The 20,729-nt window shown below is 37.8% G+C and overlaps 1 protein-coding gene across 17 annotated transcripts in view; it reads right to left on the reverse strand.

The window, feature by feature from the left end:
* Positions 1–20,729, reverse strand: part of KIF16B (kinesin family member 16B) — a 301,345-nt gene that overhangs the window by 223,254 nt on the left and 57,362 nt on the right. For all 17 annotated transcript variants that reach the window (XM_047440266.1, XM_047440264.1, NM_001199865.2 and 14 more), the window contains exons 4-11: positions 20,191–20,307; positions 17,469–17,566; positions 16,061–16,170; positions 12,601–12,743; positions 10,665–10,833; positions 10,365–10,496; positions 9,015–9,190; positions 2,256–2,321 (exon numbers count right to left, since the gene is read on the reverse strand). In XM_047440266.1, the coding sequence (XP_047296222.1) occupies positions 2,256–2,321; positions 9,015–9,190; positions 10,365–10,496; positions 10,665–10,833; positions 12,601–12,743; positions 16,061–16,170; positions 17,469–17,566; positions 20,191–20,307 (1,011 nt within the window). The remainder of the gene's footprint in view (positions 1–2,255; positions 2,322–9,014; positions 9,191–10,364; positions 10,497–10,664; positions 10,834–12,600; positions 12,744–16,060; positions 16,171–17,468; positions 17,567–20,190; positions 20,308–20,729) is intronic.

Genomic DNA, 20,729 nt, shown 5'->3' on the forward strand with positions numbered 1-20,729 from the left:
ATATGCCATTAAGCATAGTAACTGGAAAGGGTATTCAAGGCAGCAAACTTAATGAAAGAAAGCATCAGTTATTGACAAATATCTGCAGTGATGGTTTATCCAAGAGGAAAACCAAAATATATCTCATTCACCTATAGTCAATCATTCAGGGGTCCTCAATTTACCTCAAATAAGACTGTGGGAATTCTAGGTTAACTTAAAGAAAATAATAATGTTGCTTCTTTTACTACTTATTAGTGCCAAAATCTATCACCTTCTTGATGAAAAACAAATGAAATAGGAGGAAGAGGCTCCCTAACTCTGTGCTTTGCTTGTTTTCTTGTTGTTGTTGTCTTTGGTTTTGTTTTTTAGAGATGGGGTCTCACACTGTTGCCTGGGTTGGAGTGCGGTGGCGTAATCACGGCTCACCATAGCCTCTACCTCCCAGAGTTTGAGTGATCCTTCCACCTTAGACTCCTGGGTAGCTGGGACTACAGGTGCACACCACCACGCCCAGCTAATTTTTGTATTTTTTGTAAAGAGGAGGTCTCATCATGTCACCCAGGCTGGTCTTGAGCTCCTGGGCTCAGGCGATCCTCCTGCCTCAACCTCCCAAGATGCTGAGATTACAGGTGTGAGCCACTGCACCTGGCCTGCTCGTTTTCACTGGTGTGGTAAGACTGTCCTGATTTATCTTAAACCAGTTCTACACTCCAGTCCTTCATTTCATCACTTGAGTGATACCAACCCTACAGACTCCTGATAGCAACAAAAGTCATGTGACTCTCCTGGCTTTTTGTTTTGAAAAAGCTTTCAGAGAAGGAATATTCTTATGCCTTCTCTCCCTACAGATGGGGAAAAGACTGGTGTACTGAATTACTAATTTATACTCATCAGTTAACAGATTGTCATTGGCAATTTATGTGAGAACACAAAGCATCCAACAATAAATGATTCTGCATTTCACCAACAGATAGTTTCTCATCGAAGAAATGTGAGCAAATCAATCCTGTTTGAATTCAAGCAATTCTAGCTTAGAAAAAGTAAGCATGCCTTGGATTTATTTTACTGTTGCATTTAAACGAAATAATATCCATTTAAAACATTAATTTAAGAATGCAAACATGTGCTACTACTTCTAACAGTGGGATCAGGTGATGAGATTTATATCCAAGCAAATTGCAAACAATTAAAATGGGTCAGCAAAAAACTAGATGATAATTTAGAAAATGTTAAGAACAAGATAGGCAGTCATTTCTGTCACAGCATGTATAATACATCCAAATTAATACGTTTATTAGTTTCCAATAACTTATTTGGTATTCATGAAAACTATTGTTAAGAAACAATTTAAGACTATATCCAGATATAGTTTAAATTATAGCACTCAAAATTAGAATTTGAAGCACTAATAAATAAAATTTCATTTAAAAAATAGGGATTAAGAAATTAATGTTTTACTGAGGCTATTATCAGGATATTCATCAGCATAATTATCCTAGATGTGTCAACAAGTTCCTAACTACACCCCAATTTTTATCTTCCATAATGTGTATTCTTGAAAAAGCTTTTACAAACAGAATCCAATTCTTTTTCAATCTGTCTTAGCCATTCAGCACCATGAACAAAATTGACTCCAAAAGTTGTTCTAATGTCTGTTTCTCTTTTCACAGAAGTTTAAAAAAAAAAAAGTATAGAACCAGGTCAGCCATAAAACTGGTTTTTCAAAGGCATGGGCACACACATTGGCTTTAGCCCATAACAGCTCCAGATCTCTTCTCTCTTTGGTTACTCACTGCCAGTCTCTCCCATCTCAAATCTCATCTAGCTTCACAGAAACTAAGCACCTAACTAGAGTAATCAGAGATTCCTCAAGTGCCACTCTTCCCACTGGGAACAACAAAAAGCTAAAGGGTGGTCATTGTTGAGGCCATGGGGACCACTACTGTTTCATGAATGTTGAACACAGACTCCCTCAAACAGGGACTCCAGTCAGCTCTGATGACCTGAGCAGCCTCACTGCTTTGCAGGATCTGCATATCCATTTAACTAACCATCATGTGCCAGACAAATCCCGTTTATTAAACCACAGAGAATGTGCTGCAATACATAAAATGTCAGCTATCGTGCTTCTTCAAAAATGATCACCAACGAGGGAGGAGGCTAAGTGCAATAAAGAAAAAGAAGGCATCTCAAACGGCAAGTCCTAAAAAAGCATGCACTTAAAATAATAGTAAAAGTTATGATTTAAAAATATAAGTCAAAGTATCACTTACTCTTGCTTCATTCTGCTGAAGTTTTTCCTCCATACTTAAAGCTGTGGGGGAGTCTAAGAGGGCAATCTACAATATAAACCATAAAAGAAATCAGCAATTAATAAACAGCAATAATCTAGGTTTTTCCCTGAATATAGTAAATTATCCAAAATTTCACAGAAACTATTAAAGGTAAAAAGCAATGTCCTACACCCTGCCAAAAAGTGTTGAATATCACCAAGTCTTTACTCCACGGGATACATCTCTCATAATATTCAAAACCATGGCATCCCAGTAAACCTACATTTGCAATACAAATCAGCAAAGCAAAAGATGTAACATATTGACATTTTACCAAAATCAAACACAGTCTAAATCCCTAGATCTTAAGGATTCGCCTCTTTTAATATGTACAGAGTCCAACATTCAAAAGGGACCATGCCTAAGTCTTGCTTAACCGCAGGCTTCTGAGATTTGCTCTTACTGATACATGAAAATGAAACGCATTTATTTTCACTGCTGATGGTATACCCCATATGGCATGGCTACACGACAATCTCTGATTACATTTCCTTATCCCTGTCGAAGAAGTGTAAAGATTGATGTGAGAATGATAAATACCAAAATCAGTTTAAAACTGAGCAGGACAAGCAGACAGAGACAAGAGAGGGAAACGGAATCAGGCTGGGGCTTAAACTGCACTCTTAACATGTGAGTCCCTGACCTGAGTGGCAGGGACACTGTGCTTCCTATTCTGCCTCCTTTTCTCATGGCCTAAGATATCCCTTGGAAGAAAAAAGAAAGAGAATATCCCTCCTATCCTACCCGCAGGCAATCACTTTTTCCCAATTTGGTTGTGTAAACTTACAGTTACTCTGGTCATATGCAAGCGTGTTTTTTGTCGTGTTTTTAAATATAAGTGGCATAAAAACACTATTCTGGACATTGCCTTTTTAACACACCAATATATCTTAGAGAAAATTCAGTAAAAATAAAAAACTGCTTCACTCTTTTTAACAATTCCAATTTAATTATACAATATTCCATTGTATAGATTTCTATGATTCATGTTAGTGCTCTCCTATTAACATAAATGTGGTATTCTTAATCTTTCAGGAGGACTATCCTTATGCCCACTGCCTACAGTATGCATGGCTCTATGAATAGAATAAATTCCTAGAAGAAGAATTTGTGAGTCATCTATACGTATGGTTTTTATTTTTTATAATTGCCAAGTTGTCTTCCCCAGAGACTGTAGCATTTTTTTAATGACTATTTACTTTTCAATTTCTCATCAAACAAAAACACCCACAAGGTGATCTTCTTCGGCACTGTTAAACATTCAAACTATGAAGACTACCATGGGCCACACCTGGTATCTGTATACTGAACGAAAGCAGAGCTGGCCAGAAAGGAGCATAAGCGTTCGTCTTGGTAGGCAAGGTCCTCGTGACAGTCTATGCAGTAGTCCTCAGAGATGTCCCCGAGCTATTGTCTTTGGCCTTCCTGAGTAACCATTCATACGTGAGGGGTCGAGATTCACATAGGCGTCTGTGGGACCCACCCTGGTTAGAAGCCCACACCCACAGAACCCAGCATCTCTTTCAAAAATGCCAAAGGCACATCCTCCAGGGGCCCCACAAGGGACACACCCTGTTACAAGAGTCACTGTCCTCCAGGAAACCCAGAGCTATGGTTTCTCAGCTGATATTAATAGTACATATGTAGTTCATCCTAATCCAGATGTAATTCACCAGTTAGGGGTCATTTTCGTCATTAGGGATGTTGCCTAGTTAGACAGGTGTCATCCCACTTTTATCTGGTTTGCATAGAATGAAGCCAGAAAGTTAACCCAAGGTCAAATCCATCCTCAGTAAAGAAAAGGGAGCTTTGTTAGCATGTTACTACAATGCATCATTGCATCTAACATGTTGTCTTGCACAGAGATGGTACTTAATAAATATTTTTCATTGAAGACATGAAAGTGGCAGATGTTAGTATTACTGCATTGTTTATATGTGGTTGACAATTTTCAAAACAAATAGAAAGCCCTTTATAACGTGGGTAATTTTACAGAATCCATTGTTGAGACTTTTATTGATAATCAAAGCTGAAACAGTTCTGCCACATCATCAAGTCAGGAGACAATCACGGACTGAATAGAAGCACAAAGACTCATGACCAGCACCCCTTCTGGAACATTATTTTTAAGCACGTGTAAAGAACGACCTTCCTAAATCCTTTTAAAAGAAATCATTGGTAAAAGTACCATTTTCAATTAAATTACTATTTGCAAGGTGTATCTTTAGAAGAAAAGTGTTTCAAATCAAATAATAATCAGATTAAGTTCATACGTTGTTAAATCAAAAGTAACACTACCTCAAAAACACTATTACAAAAGGGTAGTAATAGCAGTTCTACTAACAACTTATACAAGCACCCCTTGCCTCACACCCTCATCAATATACTGTATAATCAATTTTGTTCTTTGCCCAACAGGTGAAAAGGACATCCTGTTTTTAAAGAACTTTGAGGTATCATCTACATGCAGCCAAATACATAAATCTAAGGTCCACTGCTTGATGTACCCACGAACATGTATACGTATACCCATTTCACTATTCTTAAAATCTGCATTTATTGTATTTCAATGACATTGAATATACTTTCACATGTACAGAAAGCATTTGAAACTCTATTTCTATGGATTGTGTTCACGTCCTTTGCCCCCTTTCCTGCTGTGTTATGATGTTGTCTTATGTTTTCAATGAACCTCCTTTCCTAACATAAAAGGTAGTCTTTTGTTGCATGATCAGCAATCTTTTCCCTGGTCTGTATTGGTTAGAGCAAATTTTCATTATGTTATATAAATATGCTATGTTCTTACTTTTGTCTATGTGAGCTTTCACAGAATGAGAAAGAAGAGTTAAAATTTTCTGTGACAAATGTGTGTGGCTTTGTCTCCTGCTATTTCGAACAGTTTTGTTGTTTTTTTCAATTACGAAAGTTGATATCATGTCTGATTTTAATTGTTAGTTGCACCCTTTGTCGTGATAAAGTGCTCTTTTTTAAAGCTCACACAATGCTGTTTCTGCACCGCTTTCTTTCCTCTTGAATTCACTGGTTTGTCCATTCTTACAAACACCATATAATTGAGTTTTACTTTGTGACCCTATCTGAGATGTGTCTTCTTTAAAAGTTTACACATGATACTTTTATTATTTAAAATTTATCTTTAACCTCAGCTACAAGAGTGAGTAATTCATTCTACTTTCATCTTCCCTTTCCCATCATCTTCTTTGCTTCCCACCTTTGGTTGTGTTTTTCATTTCTATACTGTTTGATTTACTTGTTGTCTCCAGATACATTCAAGAGAGATGAGGAAGTCAAGAGACATTTTCTCTCTGCCAAATTAAATGCAGAAATAGCTGAAAATACATTTAAATATAATAAAAGAGAATAAAACCTTTAAAAAAGAAGATATTCAAATACTCAGCTTCATCAATCGCCTGAGAAGCACAAAGTAAAATTATTCTATGATTCTGGTATATATCCATTAGGATGGTTACAATGAAAACTGTACATTATCAAGTGTTGCAATACCAAGAATTGAACCAGCACTTTTATACACTGATGGTGGTCTATTAACTGGCACAACTACTTTTATACACCAAGAATTGAATTCTTGGTTCAATACCAAGAATTGAATTCTTGGTTCAATACCAAGAATTGAATTCTTGGTTCAATACCAAGAATTGAATTCTTGGTTCAATACCAAGAATTTAACCGGCACTTCTATACACTGATGGTGGTCTATTAACTGGCACAACTACTTTTAGAAAATTGCTTGGCAATATCTACTAAAACTGAACATATGTACTCCTCTGACTCACCAATTCCACTTGTAGACATAAATCTAACAGAAATGTATCCATATGTTCACTAAAAACATCTAGAGGAAAGTCTACAAAGCAGTAACAGCCCGAAATAGGAAACCCCTCAAATGCCCATCTAAAGTACAATGGACAAATGAGCTGGAATATCTTTGCATGATGGAAGACAACTTTGCAGTGAGGATAAATGGATCCACTACTACATGCAACAGCATGGGTGACTCTCACAAACATAATGTTGACTGAAAGAAGTGAGATCAAAAGAGTGAATATTTTTCATTATTTCATTTATATAAAGAACAAAAACAGGCAAAAATAAAAACTAACAAAGCCTGTAGAGGTCAGGAGAGTGGCTACCCTGGAGAGAAAGGGGAGTAGTTCCTGAAAAGAAGGATTAAGGGGGGCTTCAAGGATACTGGTACTGTACTGTCTCTTAAGAAGCAGGTTAGATGGGTGAATTTAGCTTATGAAAACTCACTGAACTATACACATATAACTTGCAATTTTGGGGGATAATACGTCAATAAAAAATTCAAATATATAAACTACTACATATATCTACATATCTAGATCTACATAGTAGAAGAATCAAATACATGTCAAAACCTTTTGCTTTACTAAAAAGGTGCTTTAAAAACTCTGATGCACATGACTTTTTGCAATGGGAAAGACAGAAAATTATTAAAAGTAGAAGTTGATTTTTATTTAGCTGTGCTTAAAAAAAATAACCCTAGAAATGGAACTCAGATTTGAATAACATTCTCAATGAACCACAGCAGTACCTGGTATAGAATATTCTAGGAATAGAGCAATACTCCCAGAAAAATGTATACAGAGATGTTTAATGGACATTTAAGAACACCTGCTGTTTTTATTAAGCTTCATAAATTTAATTAATTTAGGATAAGCCTATATTGTCTCAAAACAATTTACAGCTTCATAGCACGATAAATTATTTTAAATTGGATTCACATTTTTATTGTAATATATTGTATATCAAAAATTTTATCTGCAATGCGTTCTGAAATAGACTTAACTGTCTTTTATATCCTCACCCCCAAAATTACAGCAACAAAAATACTCCCTTAAACACAGCAGTGGTAATAAGTCATAAAAGGAAAAGGAAAAAAGACTACAAAATATAAGGCAACTATATGGCATAACAATACCTCTGAAGGCATTTTTCAGAGAGAAAATGTAAAGTTTCAATAAATTAAAGGTTTTTAATCTATATAAGATTCCTTCCAATGATGTCCTCAGTTAATTTTAAAAAGATAATATTTTTACCCTTCATTCTTTTAACCTAATAAAAGGTTAAGCACAAGAAACTGCACATAGAATTTTCCAAATACTTCCTTCACATATAGTAATTTGAGTGATCCAATCAAATCATCATTAAAGGCTTACTTTATATAAACAATGTTTTAAAAACACTGAGAAAGATGCCAGGCTGGGCGCGGTGGCTCACACCTGTAATCCCAACACTTTGGGAGGCCAAGGCGGGCAGATCACTTGAGGTCAGGAGTTCCAGACCAGACTGGTCACGTCGTGAAACCCCGTCTCTACCAAAAATACAAAAAAATTAGCCAGGCATGGTGGCAGGCACCTCCCAGCTACTCAGGAGGCTGAGGCATGAGAATTACTTGAACCCTGGAGGTGGAGGTTGCAGTGAGCCCAGATTGCATCACTGCACTCCAGCCTGGGCAACACAGTGAGACTCTATCTCAAAAAGAAAAGAAAAGAAAAAGATTCCAATAACAAGGTGTATAAATAAAAATGACTATTGTGGTTCATGTTATAAGGGCCTCATCACGTGGAGCTGGACTCTTCATTCTGACAACTTCCACCATAGAGCAAAATGCATGTGGAGATATTTTTAAGCACAATGAACAATTCCTATTCAACTGCTGTCCACCATCTTGTGGGAAAGAACTGCCAGGTACATTTCAGGACACAGGAAATTCAGTGAGGTTTTCATCCCATCAGTATTTTCAAAACATTTATGGGATGCCAAGAGCTTCAAGTGCCACATAATCCCACGTGGAAAGCACTGCTCCAACGGGACCACTCTGCACATAAAGAAAAGCATTTCTTTTCACGATATACTTAAGACATCCATTCATGAGTTAAGAAAGGAGGGTAACTCCAGTCTAACTTCAACATTTAAAAAAGCTATCCTTCATTTTCTTTCAAGGGTTGCCTTTCTTCACAGCAATATCAAAGCCTACCAGAACTTTACTTCCACCAATCATCACGGAATGTAACTCTGTACATACACCATGCAGACTATCAGGAAGCTTACTGAGAAAATCACAAAGACAAGGAATCTTCACTAGAATCCCAACAGATCCTAAAATGAGACTATTTCAACAATCAAGCGAGGGCCCAGGGACAGCATTTCAGCCAGATCACAGGTGTAATATACATGTGTCGCGGGGCCACCAGAACCACCTCTCTAATAGGTGATATGACACAGGCATTCAGAAAGGTGTTCAAACAAGTCTTTTATTCTGTTAAAACACATTTTAAAGTCATAAAATGCATGGGTGAAATTTTAAATACTATTCTAAGCATATCAATTTCTTTCCACTTAAAGAGATTATGCCATTAATCCTATTGCATAGTACATTTCCATTCATAATTGATAACTATTAGAGAGTTAATCATTTCAGGTTTAGTGGATAAAATCTTACACATGCAGCCCGTAATGAATGCAAAGGCTGACAAGAGGTTGATGTAAACGAGGGACTGGCTAACTCATTCAAAGCTTTACTTAGCACTTATTTACTCAAATCAATAGCATGAGTGAGAAAATTGTCTCATTAAGATCTAGAAATAGATGCCATTACTCAAAGAAAATTATCCATAAATCTCAGAAAAACCCAACCTGATTCCCTTGAGCAAGCAGCGTTTTCAGTCTGGCTATTTCAGCTCGCAGCTCACGGATAAGTTTGACGTTGGCATCCTCATTAATGGTAGGCTTGTTGATGATGTTTTTGGCTCTATTTGCATAGCGAAGAGTACTTAGGGTTTCTCCATAATTGACATCAGCAGGTGAAATGGCTGTGAAGAATGTATTCAAAAAATAATTTATCCAGCACTCCATGTTCCATTTAACACAAAGTTGGTTTGTAATTTAAAAGTCAGATTAACCCCAGGTCATTGGAGAGACTAAATATTCATTGCCACAGTAATGAATATGAAAAATTATCTAACATTTCTAGGAAAGAGTGTTCACAATACAAAATTAAGTGTCATTTTGCTCTTCTCAAATCTAGAATCAACCACCTAACCAAGTCTAAAATGAGATATGAGACATTCCCCTATAGTTAGGTAGTTTTCCCTGCTGAAAACGTAAGAAGAAGGTTTAAAGACTATTTGTCATCTCAACATTAAGTAGGAATTCAAATACTTTTAAAAGTTCTGGCAAAGTCTACTGTCTGGAAAAAAAAACAGAATATGATAAGTTTTGAAAAGGGTCACAAATCTATCCATTCTCTTCTTAAAGCTTGGTTAATCTTACCCACCTCCACCACTACCACTCAACTTTAAGGATTAGGTGACTATACAAATGCATGTGGGTGTACAAACCAGGGTAAATCCCGTGGCTCCATAGTTAGCACATGGCATGAAGCATGGGAAGGGCATGAAGAGAGGGGAAGGGAAGAGGAAAGAGAGGAAGAGGGAGGGGAAAGTAGAGTCAGAAGGGAAACAAGTCCTGACTTCTCCCAAACAATTATCTCCCCTTTCTACGTTTTTTTCTCTATTCTGCTTCTTTCAATTATTGGCTGAAATACTGACATAAAGTATACTGCTGTTACCATTATTTGTTTTATGCATTGGGTTTTTTTTTCCCCTCCCAATTCTTACTTTTAAATTCCGCATTTACTGCCTTAAATAAAAAAACAAAGTTGGGTTATTTTGACCTTGTGTTCCTATGATTTTTCTCCTATGAGGTAAATTTCTACCTTGCACTTTAAGCAAAGAAAAGCTGAAAAGTCTTCGTGCATGTTATCACAGCTTCCAAAATATGGCAAGGTGGTATAACAGTTAATGATGATACTATAGACTGGATCATAGCAGGATCATAGGAGGTGATTTTCCTCAAGATAGAAAAACCATTACTTTTTTAAGATGTAAAAGGTGCTATTTCCTAATAAGACACTTTAAACTTAAATATTTACAGTTAATTCACAGAAAATATTGTATGCTCAGAAAAGTAACTTAAAACTCTTACTGGCAATCATGATAGTTTTAGAGTTTCCTCCAAGGCTATCTTTTAACAACCAAGTCAACACAGAATCCCTGTAAGGCACGAAAACTTGCTTCTTCTTTGCAAGAGTATTTGCAGCATCCTGAGATAAATCAGCTATGAAAAGGAAGAAACAAAGGGGAGAAAGGACAATTAGTAAAATTTTTTTTCCTCTACTTTTGCTTCATAAAACCTTGAAGAAATTACCTCAGTTTGCAACCCAAATATTACACATGAGGAAAAAGAGGAGGAAACAGAGGAGGCAGGAGCCAGGCGTAAGCATACCTAAGGCAGAAATGACGTTCCCCAGAGTCACGAGGGACTTGTTAATATTTCCCCCTTCCTTTAGCCTAACCCCGGTGGCTCCGGTGGCATCTGCACGCTCACTTCCGGCAAGATCAACCAAGTGGATCTTACTGACGGTTTCACATGGCATTTCAGAATCAAATTTAGCCTGTGGTAAAATAAAAAAGTAAAATTGAAGAGGTGCAAAGGGCCCTGATGTTGTTGATGATATGAATTCTAACTATTTTCTGCTCCTCACTGAGATCTCTCAGGGTAGATATTTTTCAATTTTATTGTTTTACTGGCCTTCCTACTGATTACAGAAACTTCTCAAATTTAATCCAATGCAAAAGAAGTTACTGTATATGATTCTTAAACTTTCTAAAGAAGCATTTCATTCTCAACCAAGCCCTGCTGAATCAGGCTGTGGCAGAACAGAAAACTAGGCACTGAGTGGCACTCAGCAGAGAAATGTAAGTAAGCAAATAATAATTTTTATTCTCATCTAGAATCCCAGCCTTCCAAGAACAAAAGCTTTCCAAAATATGATCAATATAGACAAGTACGGAAAAGAGCATTCAACCATTATCGGATGTTAAAACATCTTGTTGCACAAATTATTTCTTTTAATGTAAAATCTTAAATACTATATTCCTCGCTTCTGAATTCTACCAAAATTTTATATTCACAAATACTTCTGATCTATGTGTTACATTTTGAACCAAAATGCGCCCCCCGCCAGATTACTATATTTTTATAGAAATTTAAACCTCTTAGAAATGAGAGATGGTGGCCAGACCCAGCAGCTTATGCCTGTGATCCCAGCACTTTGGGAGGCCAAGGTGGGAGGATCGCTTGAGCCCAGGAGTTCAAGACCAGCCTGGGCATCATAGTGAGACACCATCTCTAGAAAAAACTTAAAAAAAAAAAAATTAGCTGGGCGTGGTGTTGTGCACTGCAGTCCCAGCTCCCTGGAAGGCTGAGGTGGGAGATCACTTGAGCCCAGAGGTTGAGACTGCAGTGAGCCGTGATCACACCACTGCACTCCAGCCTGGGCAACAGAGTGAAATCATGTCTCAAAAAAAAAAAAAAAATTAGAGATGGTAATATGCTAATCAAGCACTAACCAGAAAGCAGGAGAAAAACCAATCAACTTGAGTAAATCTAAAGGAAAGGTCTAACAGAAGATTAAGATGTGGAGAATTTAATGCAAGTTGTTCTGACTGGCCTTAGAAAACTCATTTTTGTGCTCTTTGATCTCCCTCATTAATAAAATGCTGCCTCTTTGTATCTGATGTGTCCAACTGTTAACCCAGATAAGGACATCCCCAAGCTCCTAGCATATACTTAGACCCTGACAGGACCCTACATTTTTGCATTCATCTATTCTACTGGCCTCAGTGTTCAAATATTTACCCTCAATAATTTCCACAGATGTTCAAGATGCTCTCCACCTCTTGATCATAATGAATTCTTACATTAGTACTTATAAATATTCGCTGCCCTTTAATATCATTCTAATAATCATCATCAACACGGCAAGATGAGTGCCATGGAGCGGTAATGAACTGCACTGAGTTACTCACCTTGGCTTCCAGCTGGTCTGACTCGCAATCCATTATATCCCACAGAGTTTGCAACAATGAAAACTTTTGCTTAATTAAGCACAGAGCAAGTTGTTTTATGTCTAGAACAGGGTGGAAGCCTTCTAAGTATTTCTTAAGGGTACACATCAGGATATTTCAAATTACTGTGATTGTAACCACAGAGAAACTCAGCGCACAGCACATGTTCAACTCTAATTAACAAGAAAATGACAGTCAGTCACCTTTACCTGCTGCTGCTCCTGGTTCAACAATGATCAGTCCTCAGCTGGTGCTAATCAGCAAGTAAAGACCTCAGGGATGGAGCCAGCTGGTCCCGCAGCAGCCCTTACCTGAGTGAACTTGATGGTGAAGATGGCATGAGACCTGCTACTGACGTCGTTCATCCCAGTCGCTGCGGTGGTCCGGTTGATATTGCCCGCATCCATAAGTTCTTCTACGTCACCATAATTCTGTACTAAATGTTTGGATAAATCTGAAAAAGAAAATGGAAGGGGTGAAGAAATCCCCCTAATATATAGGAAATGGAATACAAAATTACCCTCTATGAAATAATACACAACTCCAAAATCTGCTGACCTGTCTGAAGACCTCACTTGTCTCTCTAGGGTGGTGGTATGTAATGCAGACCTGGGAGCTGGGTGGCTGGGGCCGAATCCCAGCTCTGCTGCTTACTAGCCGTGGACTTACATAGTTATGGACAAACTGCTTCACCTCACTGTGCCTCAGTTACCTCACGTGATCATGTGTACCTACCACATAGGGCCACGGTCCCCAACTTTTTCAGCACCAGAGATCGGTTTCATGGAAGGCCATTTTTCCACAGATAGGGGTAGGGGGAACAGATTCGGGATGAAATTGTTCCACACCTCAGATGATAAGGCATTGGTTATATTCTCATTAGGAGCACACAACCTAGATCCCTCACACGTGCAGTTCAGAATAGGGCTCATGCTCCTATGAGAATCTAATGCCACCACTGATCTGACAGGAGGCAGAGCTCAGATAGTAACGCTTGCTCCCTGGCTGTTCACCTCCTACTGTGCGACCCACTTCCTAACAGGCCATGGACCAGTACCAGTCTGCAGCCCGGGGGTTAGAGGCCTCTGACATACGGTATTTAAAAAAAGGTTAGCTATTATATTATCATCAACCTCATTCACATTAGTCATAGCACATACAAGAAAAATGCAAAAGCACTGCCTTCATGCAAAACCCAAAAGTGTTTTTTAAATCATTTTAACAAATTATTTTATTAACTTTTTTGGAACATTCATATGGTTCTAAAGTCAAAGGCTACACAGTTACACTGTGTAAAAGGTCCCCCGTCCCTATGCTATAGCTCCCCACTTCCCCTTCTGTCAGGGAACCAAATGTTACATACCCTTCTAGAAATAACCTATACATACACAAGCAATCATATTTATATATAATTATCTTTTTCCCCTTACATACAAATGGTAGCATACAATAAGCATTAGTTTGTACCCTGCTTTTAAATGGATTAATACATTAAAGAACATTCTGTATCAGTTAAGGTGTTTCCTCATTCATTTTTAAGGCTGCAGGGGATTGGATCATATGCATGTACCACGACCAATTTAACCATGGAGACTACAGCAGTTGTTCATATTTTGTTTCCAATTATGAGTAATGCTGCTACAAATCACCTTGCACATAAGTCTTTTCAAATGCCTGTGAATGTTTATACAGAATAAATTCTTAGAGGTGGAATTTCTAGACAGTTGAAATTTTGATAACTATTGCAAAATTGTTCTCCATAGAGGGCAATTTACACCCAGCAGTAGCAAGGTATAAGAGTGCTTGTCTCCCAAAACCCTCCACAATACAGTCTTATCAGGATTATTTACATCTGCCAAAGATGGGTGACAAATGTTACCTCCAAGTATTCTTATTTTGTTTTTCTTTTACTATGAGTGAAATGCTAAGCATTCCTTCCTGCATTTAAAAATCATCTGTATTTCCGTTTCTACAAACAGCCTAGTCATACATATTCTTTGTTCATTTTTCTACTGGTTGTTGAATCTGTCCTTACTGATTTATAGGAGCTCTTTATATAGTAGGAAAATTAGTCCTTTGTCTAAAACTTGAATTCAAAATATTTTTCCTATTTTGTAATTAAGCTTTTTACTTTGCTTACAGTGTTTCTGTCAAGTATGATGTTTTATTTTGCTATTCTTTGTTTAACCATTTCAAATTTAACATTGTTTATTTTATAGTTTCTGAGTTTTAAGTCAGGTTTTTAAAAGCCTTCTTTCCTCCAGGTTTCCGGGAAAAAAATTAACCCACGGATTTTTATAGTCATTTTATTATTTAATATTTTTGCACTTAAATCTTCAATCTAGTTACCATTTATCCTGGTGTAAAACTGAGTTGTGGTGCCAATTTACTTTTTTTTCCTCCTACACAGCTTAATAATCCCTCTAATAATTTCCCTAAGGTTTGAATAGCACATTGATTATAAACTAAATTCCCCTAAGTATCTAGGTCAGATTCTGGATGTTTGCTCTGTTTTGCTATTCTATCTCTTCATACACCAGTTTTATATGTTTTAACATGTGATAAGACACTTGTCAGAAAACATGAAGGCATGAGTTAGGCTAAAAACTCTTAACAGTAATAGCTATACCACACACCACAGAACAACTACATACTGGCACACCCTGCTTTGCTTTGGGCATACAAGGCAAAAGCTTAAGTGGAAATTTATTAAAATACAGATGGGCCGGGCGTGGTGGCTCACACCTGTAATCCCAGCACATTGGGAAGCCGAGGCAGGTGGATCATGAGGTCAGGAGTTCAAGACCAGCCTGGCCAAGATGGTGAAACCCTGTCTCTACTAAAAATATAAAAATTAGCCAGGTGTGGTGGCAGGCGCCTGTAATCCCTGCTACTGGGGAGGCTGAGGCAGAGAATTGCTTGAACCCAGGAGACAGAGGTTGCCATGAGCTGAGATCACACCACTGCACTCCAGCCTGGGCGACAGAGCAAGACTCCGTCCCAAAAGATAAAAAAAGGAATACAGATGGGGTCCTGTTGTTATATCTGGTATCTCCCAGGAAAAGAAGACAACCAAAACCAGGAAGAACTTTAAACCTGTGACCAGTTCTGTCCTGCATCCACAAAGACACAAATGAAGAACATGAAAGCACATCTCTATGTGCGATTCCTGCAGTCCAGCCATTCTAAGTTGCCTTATACAGAGGTGGTAAGATCAGCTTCATTATGAGGACAGTTTTAAATCCAGCCGATTCTTAAATAATTAGCAAAGGCCAATCCTGTACTCATCATTGCTTGTGGCATTCCTCACAACTGACTGTGCCACAACGAGCGTATCACAACACAGATGCTGAAACCCACAGAGGAAATCCTCCAAACACACTTCCGAAGACGCAAGAGGTTCAGAATATCTTTATTGTCATATATCACCATTAGGGTCAGTAAAGATACACTGCAAAAATGCAATGCCATTTAGAGAGACAGATTGCAGGTTTGCTTACCTTGCCTTACATTTGGAAAAGAAAATTCCAGAGATTTCTTAAAGACAGAGGAAATCTATTGGTAAGCCTCATAAAATCAACGGATGGCCAGTGAAGTATAAATTCACTAACGGAACATCATGTAGTGACAGCTCATGACATTCTTACTATAATAAAATTCCAAAATTAAATAAATTTTTAAAAGCTCACCATTATGCTATATTTTTTCATTGAAAGTGTTATTTTTACATAGATCACAAAAAGAATATGGCTGTGAAATATCTACTCTTACCCTCAACATAAGGGCCTTCTTTGGGATGCTCACGGACTCTCAAATTGAAGGTTTTAGATGACTTCCGCCGAAGTAGATCTCTCACACGTTCGTTATAAATTTCTAAGTAGCTAAAAATTTAAAATAAAATTGAATTCAGAAAAATGATTTCAGACATTAATATCAGTAACAACACATAACAGCAGCAACCTGCTGACATAAATGGCCACAGCAGCAGTTACCATTTATGAGTGGTGACTGTGTATCAGGTACAATGAGTCCTCACTTAAGGTCATTGACAGGTTCTTGGAAAGTGCAACTTTAAGGGAAAGGACATACAGTGGGTCCTCAAATAACAATGCTTCCTTCAACATCATATTGCTATAATGTTGACGAGAAAAAGAACTGGTTTCATTATATGTTGTTTCACTTAAAGTCACGATTTCCAAGACTGTATCAAGAAGCGACATTAGGCCAGGGGTGGTGGCTCACGTCTGTAATACACTTTGGGAGGCCGAGGCAGATGGATCACTTGAGGTCAGGAGTTCAAGACCAGCCTGACCAACACGGTGAAACCCCACATCTACTAAAAATATAAAAATTAGCTGGGTGTGGTAGCGGACACCTGTAATCCCAGCTACTCAGGAGGCTGATGCAGGAGAATCACTTGAACCTGGGAGGTGGAGGTTGCAATGAGCCAAGAGTGTGCCACTGCACCCCAGCCTGGGTGACAGAGTAAGACTCCATCTCCAAAAAAAAAAAGGAAGGTACATTAAGTGAGGACTTCCTGTACCATGCTAAGTACTAGACATGGATTATTTCATTGAATCTCCACAATACCCAGAGATAGGTACCACTACTATCCTCATTTTATAGGTTAGGCAAGGGAGGTTTAGTGTGATTCAAATAACTTGTCCAAGACCACAAAGCAGTCAAGTAGGTGTAAAAATCCTATATTGCCATGTCTGCCCTTGAAACTACCGAAGAGACTGGCTCCCCTCACAGGTTTAATTTCAAGGAGGAAAAAGCACCTCAACCACTCAGATTTACTTGTAGATTAGATTTATAATGATCCAACCAACACAAAGAATAATATAAACCTTACTAAGCTAAAAGAATGAAGCAAGTAATTGGTATACACTTAAAAGTCAGAAGCTCACTCCATTTGAGATGAACATCCCACATTAGTTTCTGCCCAAGCTGTTATTTCTGCCAGCTCCCAAATCTTTATCCAAACTGTACCCAAGAAAATCACTAAAAACTTATGTGTTTTAAGCTTTATCCCCAAACCATAATCACAGGAGGGGAAAAGGGAAGACTTTTTCTTTAGGAATCTAAAGACCTTATCCATTTCCAGCACCTAAATGCAGGCCAACCAGCATTGACTCTAATCAAGCTCACACACAGTTACCCAGGCCACAGGCCCTACCTGACTTCAGTTCGAAAAGAAGCTTCATCCCATCTGGTGGTTTCATTTATCCGACTGAAGAGTCCTTCACAGATCCGAGGTATTAAGCCAGAATCTCCCTGCATGGGAAAGACCAATGTCACAGCTGTCACTCAAAATAAAAGCAACTGATGACTGAATTTGCAATTTGCTGGCATGAAGTTAGACTCAAGTGACCTGTATGCCAACCCCTGGCCTACCACAGCCCACGCCATATACCCCCTCCAGGGCTGCTTTCTACTCTCTGAAATGAGATGATTGAGCCTTCTGATTTATACAGGCTGGGACTCTGATAATATACGGTTATCAGTTGTTAGTTAAATCATGGCTTACAAACAAGGAAACTTAATTTCTAACATTTAAATAAGACAGTTTATAACTGTACAATAAATGTTAAAAATACATGCTCAAATGAACAAGGTAGGTGAAATACACACCAGGCAAAAAAACACCAAGAAAAACTTAGCAATCCCCACGGTAGTTAATAATTGCCTTAAAAACTTAGGTAACAAGACCACATTAAAATCCATGCTGGCCGGGTGCGGTGGTTCACACTTGTAATCCCAGCACTTTGGGAGGCCGAGGCGGGTGGATCACCTGAGGTCAGGAGTTTGAGACCAGCCTGGCCAACATGGTGAAACTGTGTCTCTACTAAAAACCCAAAAAGTTAGCTGAGTGTGGTGGCACATGCCTGTAATCCCAGCTACTGGGTAGGCTGAGGCAGGAGAATCGCTTGAACCTGGGAGGCAGAGGTTGCAGTGAGCCAAGATTGCGCCATTGCATTCCAGCCTAGGCAACAAGAGCAAAACTACGTTTAAAAAAAAAAAAAAAAAAAAAAAACCACATGCTATGTCCCTCCTTTGACAGAGTAACCCCTACCCTGGCCTTCCTCGATGGAAAATTTTAATACACCATATTATTTATACAATGTGGGTATAACGTTCAATAATGTTCATGTTTCAGTCAACCTTAAAAAGCTGATGAACCTCAGAATATAGTAAAAATCAGGCAAAATGATCTTGCTAGGAAACCAAGGCAGAGCATCAATGCTTTATTCACATGTTCCCTCCCTACCTTCACTCAACCCCCACACCCAAAAAAATAAAAGAAAGCATGACTGTGTTCAGAGATTGTTTTTTCTTTGTACCATTAAATCAGTACTAATTCTTAACAAGGAAAAATGAGTCTTACGTCGTATTTTTGGTTCTTACTTTAAAATGAAGAAAGGATACCCAAGCAGCACTCAACTATAAGATTGGAGAAAAACACTTGTAATTTGTGAGTGCTTTATAAATGTTTGACTTACATAAAATAGTTACTAGGGAATCAACATACAAATTTCACTTTTGGAAGTTTTGTTTTTTTTTTCCAAAGGCACAGTAGGAAAGGAGGAAGTGAGAAGTAATGATAAAAGGAAATGTGAAACTCTCGAAATTAGCTGTTTGTTCCTCTCATTTGTTCTTCCCTTTTCGGAGAAGACTTCCCGAACAGCACTTACTGACTTCTTGTGTAAAGGAAGAGCCTGGATGTAAGCAGTGAGGTTACATGTCCTGAAATAATTTATTCTGGAAAGATCTGTCTTCTAACACACGACTTCCATGAACCTCCAAACCTTCAGCATTACAGACACCACATGTGTGCCAGCAGGAAGCCCTCAATCATCTTCCACTAGTGTCTCTACATCTCAAAAATGCCACAGGTTTGGCAGGCAATGAACAGAGCTCTCACTAAGAAATAAGAAAAAAAAAAAAAAAAAAAAAAAACAGGCCAGGCACAGTGGCTCACGCCTGTAATCCCAGCACTTTGGGAGGCCGAGGCAGGCGGGTCATCTAAGGTCAGAAGTTCGAGACCAGCCTCGCCAACATGGTGAAACCCCGTCTCTACTAAAAATACAAAAATTAGCAGGGCGTGGTGGTGCACACCTGTAATCTACTTGGGAGGCTGAGGCAGGAGAATCACTTGAAACCAGGAGGCAGAGCTTGCAGCGAGCTGAGATCGCACCACTGCCCTCTAGCCTGGGCGACGGAGTGAGATTCCATCTCAAAAAAAAAAAAAAAAAAAAAAAAAAAAAGAAAACAGAAGAATGATCTAAATCTGGAGAAAACACAGAACAAGAAAGTTCTTGCAATAATTCCTAGTTTTTACTCCTCTGTATTTTGGGGCAAGTATAACATTAATATCAGTTAACTTACATAGCTTATAAAACTGCATACGGTGTGTTTATAAATATGTAAATTATATAAACTATATAATTCTAACTTTTTAATGTATTTTCAGGATTTATGTAGTACCTTTCTATCAAAGAGTTAGAATTTTTTTTACATTTTTCTTGGGGAAAAATGTTTTGAATAATTTTAAAAAGAACAGACTTCAGTAATTTTATTCAAACTGTTGTGTTGGCAGAAAAGAAGAATAAATTACTTACGGGCCCAACACACTTTTTTGATAAGATTATAAGGCCTTTAAAAACAGAAAATGAGCAGGGACTTGCATCCATTATTCATGCTTATATACTTAAAACTATTTCTAATTTAAAATCTCTCAAAGGAAATTTAGTCCAACTTATTACTGAGTTTTATCTTATTACTAAAGAATAATCAGAACATGAAAAGTTAGTACAGACCAAATAGATAAAAGAGATCATTCTACCAGTCCAGAGAAAGATAATGAGAAATTTCCTTCCCACACAGTATAAACAACGTACAGAATTTCCCATCATAGTGTATGACTTTCCAGATCCAGTTTGCCCATATGCAAAGACACAAGCATTATAACCTTCAAATGCAGACTTCACGACATCTGTGCCGAGGGTTTTGAAAACCTGAAAGCCAAAAAGAACACACAAAAGATACAATTATCATAGATTTTAATAATAGCCCCTTCAGTGTTGACAATGTTCTTGAATGATACTTTCAGCTCTTAAGGATTAGACCATATAAATAAATCACTGCAGAACCATTCACAACAACATATGTAGACACCACAGTTTTTAATCAAAAATAAACTTTTTAAGCAAACAAAAAGCAGCCCCATCCTCTTTCCTACTTAAGTTTACCAAAAAATATCATGAAGTATAAAAATGTAAACAAGGCAAAGTGAAAATCATGTTTAGAAGCAAAGACTATTTTAAAGCATGATGATTAGCCATTCAGAATTATATAAATATATAAAGCTATTCATTCTATCAGAGTTTCCAGAAACAAAATACTCAAAACCTGAAGGTCACAGAAATTACTGCCCAAG

This window comes from Homo sapiens, chromosome 20 (genome assembly GCF_000001405.40).
Source record: "Homo sapiens chromosome 20, GRCh38.p14 Primary Assembly".
Taxonomy (NCBI): domain Eukaryota; kingdom Metazoa; phylum Chordata; class Mammalia; order Primates; family Hominidae; genus Homo; species Homo sapiens.